Below are 6,573 nucleotides of genomic sequence, written 5' to 3'. Positions count from 1 at the left end.
AGGTTTTCATTTGTGTTTTGGAAACCAAAATATAAAATCTCCAGGACCAAATGTTAAGGATGACAAGGAAGATGGAGAAGAACAGAAGAAACTTCCCACCAGCAGGCCCCCCGCCTAACAGCCCCCCCCCCCGCCCCCCATAACTGCTTTGGAATTTGTCTCAGAGGATAACTGAGATTTAAATTGTTAGTTCATTAGCACAAAGGAAATACCGACTTCAACCTTCACTTGCTTGCTCAGGGTAGTCAGCGGCTAAGACGGGCAAATGAGCTCAGACCAGCTCTAGATTTCTGGCGGGAGAAAAGGAATAGTGGCAGAAATATACATGTAGCAGGGAAAGAGAGGGCAAATTGTCTCCCATTTATTTTCATATTTTATTTAGAGATGAATTTACTACTGTGCTGTTCTTCAGTAGCTCTCGAGGTAGAGAGGGGAGTGGGAAATGATGTTGATCCCTGGAATCTTTCCTGCTTGCCCCTAAATGCCAGCCCACCCCTTCCTATCACCACAGGGCTCCTCTTAGAACCTTTTAGAAATACAAAACGTTCTCTGAGGTGGGGTGGGGAGGATGGGGGAGGGCTGTGAAGCCTGCCTCTCCAGACCTCTCCTATCTGTCTTCTACAATAAGAGGACTGTGTGCTGAGCTCTGAGAGAAGGAAGGACTTCCTGTGCATAAAGATGGCGAATCCAGAGCTTTTGTAAACTGATTTGGAAATTCTTTGCTTTGGAAGTGAAGAGGATTTTTAACAAGCAAAAGGAGGTGGTTAACTGGAAGGTTGAGAGGAAAGGCCACAGAACAAGTGTCTAGGTAGACAGACTGGTAGGATTTCACATTTGTTCCTGCGCTCTGACATTCCGAAGGACCAAGGAAGCAAAGCATTAGAGAGTGTCCATTTTGCAGCCTTTTGCTTTCTAATCTCCTTATGGAAGGCAGTGTAAAATCAATCTCGACAAACGAACGCGAGTTGGTGGAGTCTGAATTCTATTTTCCGAAGCCAGAGAATTCATAACAATGGTGGGTTTAAAAAAGAATTCAAATGGAAAGTGTATTCTCAGAACGCAACGCGGCAATTGTTTTTTAAAGCGGTTATTTATTATTTCCTAGAGAGACTGGTTAACTGTAACGTAGATGTAACAAAATAATGAGGCGAATGAACCCTAACTGTACATACTCTTGACAGAAATGAAATGCACACAGCATTGTAGCAGGTGAAGTGAAGCATTGTCTATCAGGGCTGTTTTTCTTGGCTGCATCTCAGATTGTGTGGGGGATCCTAACCTCAGGCACAATAGCATTCATAAACAGCCATACATTGCTGCTCTGCCTCCAATGACACATAAATACTCATTTTAAAACGAAAACAATCTTATTAAATACCATTCATTCATATCTGGATTTACAGATGCTTGTTATGTTGGAAAACCTGAACCCAATATAATCCTTGCATCCTGAGAAAGACAGAAAGGAAATAGTGGGTTAGAACATTACAAGGTCATAATAAACAATGGTTTCCAAATGCAGAGAATTAGTTATTTTTATTCGGTAGGTGGACATTTTGAAGATCATGATATTGTCACCCTTTTTTTTTTAAACAAAATTTTTAAAAAGTTACATATATTTTTAAGAAATGGGAGGATTAGAGAGGTTATATTAAAAATAACTTTTATTGGGCTAACCAAAGGCTCGGTGGATTTTGGCTTTCTCTGTGGTGACCAATGTATACTTTCTAAAACACATGGTGATTAGTTGACAGGACAGGTGTTTGTAAACTAACAACAGTGATTTTTTTTGACTAAACTAAATTAGGATACATAGTTGAATTATAAGGATGCTTGCCAGGCTATGCTAATTACCACACCCAATTTTTATGGAAACACAATGCTCCTTCGAGTTTGGTAGTCATCATTACCCCCTCTATTCTCTAACACCCTTTAAAAATTACAATCCCATCCATTCCTCCCCAAAATCGAATATTAATACAATTTGCGTTCTTGATGGAACTACCATCAGGACTGCAATGCCCCGCAGCTGAAATAATATTTAAAATAGAAGGGATTTGACATTTGAGAAGTCAGTGGCTTGAAATACCCAGTTGTACTTAGCTAATTCAGTCCTTAACCTCTGGTTTCAAATAAATCAATTACAGTCGATTCCACTTCAGTTCAGAAGTGCACAGGGTTTTAGTTAATTGAATACATTTTATTCACTTGCTAGGAATATTCATTTATCAAAATTCCAAATTTAATGTACATTTCTTTACAACTCAGGTTATGTTAGACTGCACAGTCAGATCAAATTTGCCCTGGTTTCCCCAAATCCTGCTTAACATATACATTTTACCACCCTCTGAAAGAGATGATGTCTCCCCATTCCTTTTGTCAGCCAAAAGTAAATTCACAATAATTCCATGTCAGGCAGGAGAGCTACTTTCTCCCACAAAGAAAAAAATCATCTGTGGTCATCAGCCTTGCGTTAAGTTTAAATAGGTTAAGAACAAAGCTGGATTAATTAAGTTTTTTAAAAGTATAGACTTGAAATAAAAAAAATTATGCATGGTTTCCATGAGAGCTTAACTTTGCTGCAGCTGACAGGTATGACAGCATTTTGTGGTCTTAAAGCCACAGGCTCCTTTTCTTAACCCTCTCTCTTCCTCTGCTTCCCCCTTTGGCTTTTGGAGAAGTACTTGAATAAATACCCAATTGTTAACTGAAAGCAGTACAGTTAAATGTGCCCAAATGAAGTTGTGCTTTAAACAGATATTGATGTATGCAGTGTTTTATATTTATTGTTTGTAGCATCCTGCTGGCAGCAGTTTACTGTTTGGAAAGGAAAGGGGTTAATTAGCGTCATTATCAATCACTAATGCTTGCCTAACGTGTCCAAAGAATAATCAAGTTAGAGGACGGCGTGAAGCCAACAGCTGCTTCATCCCAGTTACAGATCTCCTAAGCCACTCAGTTATAGGGTTGAGGGGTGGAGGGAAGTAGAGTGGGGAAGAATCCTCATTGCTTGGGTAAAAGGGCTGTAAAAATCGGGTCAACTCACAAGAGATCTGAGAGGCAGAAAGTACAAAATAAATAACCAGCGTTTTCACTGTCTACATTACAGGTGCAGAGATGGCAGCGGTTCTGAGGCAAGAGTACTGAAATTTGCTTTATAATTTACTTGATTATCCAAGTTGTGCATTTGAAGAAACACATCCATGTTTCCGTAGTGCTTAGTGCTATGGGTGAAAGAAATCTTAAAGTCAAGCAGAGAAGAAAAAAATAAAACCCACGCATACCTCAGAAAAGCCCAATTCAACTCCTAACATCACCCAACCACCCCATCCCAGAAGAATGAAACCATGGAGCACAACAGGTAATATCAGTTTTCACACCTCTGCATCCCCTTTTAGGATGCTCCGGGATATTTTTCCTTGTGAATTTCAGTGAACGATTCTTTTCTATATTAAACTTGGTTTACTACCTGAGTTGCACAGGTATGCCATCTCAGCTTCCTATTATTATTACTACTCCCCCTCCCCACCCCAACTGACGGAGCCTGGCTCTGTCACCTAGGCTGGAGTGCAGTGGTGCGATCTCGGCTCACTGCAACCTCTGCCTCCCGGGTTCAAGCAATTCTCCTGCCTCGGCCTCCTGAGTAGCTGGGATTACAGGCACACACCACTATGCCTGGCTACTTTTTGTATTCTTAGTAGAGATGGGTTTCACCATGTTGGCCAGGCTGGTCTGGAACTACTGACCTGGTGATCCACCCACCTCGGCCTCCCAAAGTGCTGGGATTACAGGCGTGAGCCACTGTGCCTGGCCTATTACTACTCTTAATGATACGGTCCTCCCTGTGACCCACCTTAGGTGGGAAACTGAAAAAGTTTGACCCTGTTATGGATTCCTTCTTTCAATGTCTTTAAAAACATTATTTGCCAGGTTAGCCATGAGTTCAAACTGATGATCCCATTAATGATCAGAATTTGGTCAACGGTTTTTCTGAAGGCAAGGATGAACTTGTCTGAGGTGAAGTATTTATTCATAGTGAGCCCTTGTTTGATTGAACAAGACATTGACTTCTTTCTGCAAAACCAGTAGCCCAAACTCATCTTTGCCTGTGTGGACACAGATGAGAAATATTCACAATCACATTATGCACCGAGTCTTACCCTCAAAGAAGTAACTGATGTTTCCCATGGAAGGCATGAGAGTGGAAAGAGAGAATGTTGGGATGGAAAACTAGATAATTCATGTATATGGAAAGTTCCTGTGTTTAAAAAAATAAGGAAAGGAGGAAAGAAAAGTGATTTCAGGCTGAATTTGGGAGGCCTAAAACGAAACTTTAAGTGTGATTCATGTGTAAAATTTTATTTCTTTTTCATCTTTGATGCCCGAAAAGGATAGCGCAGAACAAACTTCAGTTTTCACAGAGATGTTTCTTTCTTAACAAAAGAGCAACACTTAATATATTGCTGGAGAAGTGTGTAGAGAAGCAGTGGCCCAGGGAGATGACCTCCCCACATTAGACACTTGCAACAGATCGCCCTTTTTCTCTCTCTCACCAAAAAAAAAAAAAAAAAAGGGTCTCTAGGACTTTGAGGAAACTTCCTAGTCTTCCTTTGACTTTCCTTTAACGCCCATTTAAGGGGGCGGGAATATTTTCATCAGCAGGGCGGGAGCTTTAAAAAGTGACCCAACCCATGCTATGCTTTTGCTGCACGTGATTTTTCTATGGCAATAAAGATCGCGTCCTTTAAATTCCAGTAACAAACCTAAACACACGCCCTCAACTGAAGGTGGTCCACAGCCCCTGTATGAGCAATCGATCTTGGCGTGTCTATCATGACTCTCAAGTTTTACAAGTCAAAAAGCCCAGGCCTTCCGGGTTTTTGTTTTGTTTTTTTCTTTTTTGTTTTTGGACTGGGAACAAATCTCTCCAAACTCTCTCTAGAGTTGGTCTCATCACCGTTTTAAAATCCAGCTTATCCTCAGGATATGGATATACACACACTTGTGGGGTGTGTGTGTGTATGTGTGTGTTTGATCAAACTAAATTTAGCTAATATACCTTAAGATAATTTTTCCCCCTGGGGCACCGAGTTAACGCTAGGATCAAATTTCCTTTTGCTTTGTCAGCTACCATATCCTATTTCAGGATTCCCCCCTGTCTTTTTGGAGTCCCCAAGTCTGGGTTGCGCCTTTGTCCACAGCATGGAGTCAGTCCCCAGCGCCAGAGCTCAGCTCTGGTCTCCTGGACCCCTGCCTGGGAGGAGGCAGCGCGGTGCGCACCCCCTCACTGGGTCCCACCTGCCCCACCCAGGACCCCACCCGCTGGCAGGGCGCTGCCCTATTTGAATTCCCCGAAAATATCCTGCCATGCACCCCTTTGTATTAGGAGCTATTCGCTACTTGATTTGGACTGTCTGGCGTTGGGCGTGGGGGTGGGGGGATGGTAGAGATTGTGTGGGACGGGCGGTTCGAGTCTTGCCTGGGCTTGGGCGGCAGGGAGAGGAAGGACTGGTAGGGGCTCGAAGGACAGCCAGGGAGGGAAATGTGGACGGCCTGGGCAGCGGCCACCGGCACTCGCGTCCAGGATAGACCCAATTAAACTGCAGTAAAACCCAGAGAAAGGTTTGGGACTTGCTTGTGCCTCCCGTCTCCCTTAGCGCGCTTGCGGGTGCAGTGAGGAAGAGCCGGGAGGCTCCAGGTCAGAGTTTTAAGGGCCTTTTTTTTTTCCACGGGAAGGGCGCTTTAATTAATGACTGGAGGCAGGGTCTGGGAAACTTTCTGGCTCCAAACTCCCAAAGCATCCCTCGCCCGGGTGTCTAAGCAGATAGAGCTGCGTGGGGATCCGACTGCCGCACCCGCACCCTTTCTCTCCCATGCGGCCTGTCCGAGCTTTCCAGCCCCGACCCATTTCATCAAATATCTCACTGTGGGACTCGTCTCCCGAGGCCTTCCTCGACCTGGACCCAAGGAATGGCTGGGAACCCGCGCTGCCCTCCAAGCGCCTCCTGCCCAACGCAACCTTTTAGGCACTTGCATCTTTAGTCATTAAAACCTTGTTTCATTGCAACAATTCGGCTGACCTTCCAATACGCGTTGAGCGGGCATCCTGGACCGAACTACCTTAGCAGTGGGAAATTCCATAGGGGAGCATTTATTTGACCCCCTCTGGGTTTCCACACCCAAGGACGGACGCGCCCTCGGGATCGCCAGAGAGGAGAGCCTGGAGGGCCGCTCCTGGGGGATCCCAGGGCCATTTGCACCTCTAGGCACCTACTCCCCTCCCTGCCCGCTCCTCCCCTAGCCCTCTCTTCTCCTCTCATCTTTGTAAAAATGCACTCCGACTTTTCCCCGGCGGGGGCGGGGAGGCTGGCGGAGTTGGGCTAGAAGGGGGGGCTTCGCAGATAGTTGATATTCCGGGTCCAGCCGCTCTCCGCGCTCCCATTCTCTAAGCTCAGCCGGGGGGAAGTGTCGCCCCGGGCCAAACATATGCTTCTTTCCAGCGCGCTAATCCACCTTCAGCGTGGAGGCATAATTGCTCGAGTGTCCATGGATTCTCGGCGCTTTGTCCCTCGC

At 44.9% G+C, this 6,573-nt stretch overlaps 1 long non-coding RNA gene across 1 annotated transcript, besides 1 other annotated feature; it reads left to right on the top strand.

The window, feature by feature from the left end:
- On the top strand, positions 3-3,490 carry LOC124901485 (uncharacterized). The gene is made up of 2 exons (XR_007059911.1): positions 3-1,015; positions 3,110-3,490. It is a non-coding gene; the product is annotated as an uncharacterized LOC124901485 (long non-coding RNA).
- Positions 5,654-6,258: an enhancer, noted in NCBI's record as "H3K4me1 hESC enhancer chr6:10390646-10391250 (GRCh37/hg19 assembly coordinates)". NCBI's record gives its function as "activates a minimal SCP1, AML or CMV promoter by ChIP-STARR-seq in naive H9 embryonic stem cells {active_cell/tissue: H9 hESC(naive)}" and the evidence as "EXISTENCE:reporter gene assay evidence [ECO:0000049][PMID:30033119]".

Source organism: Homo sapiens, chromosome 6 (assembly GCF_000001405.40).
Source record: "Homo sapiens chromosome 6, GRCh38.p14 Primary Assembly".
In the NCBI taxonomy this organism is placed as follows: domain Eukaryota; kingdom Metazoa; phylum Chordata; class Mammalia; order Primates; family Hominidae; genus Homo; species Homo sapiens.
Note: the sequence above shows the minus strand (reverse complement) of the source record. Positions and strands in the feature narration are given on the sequence as shown.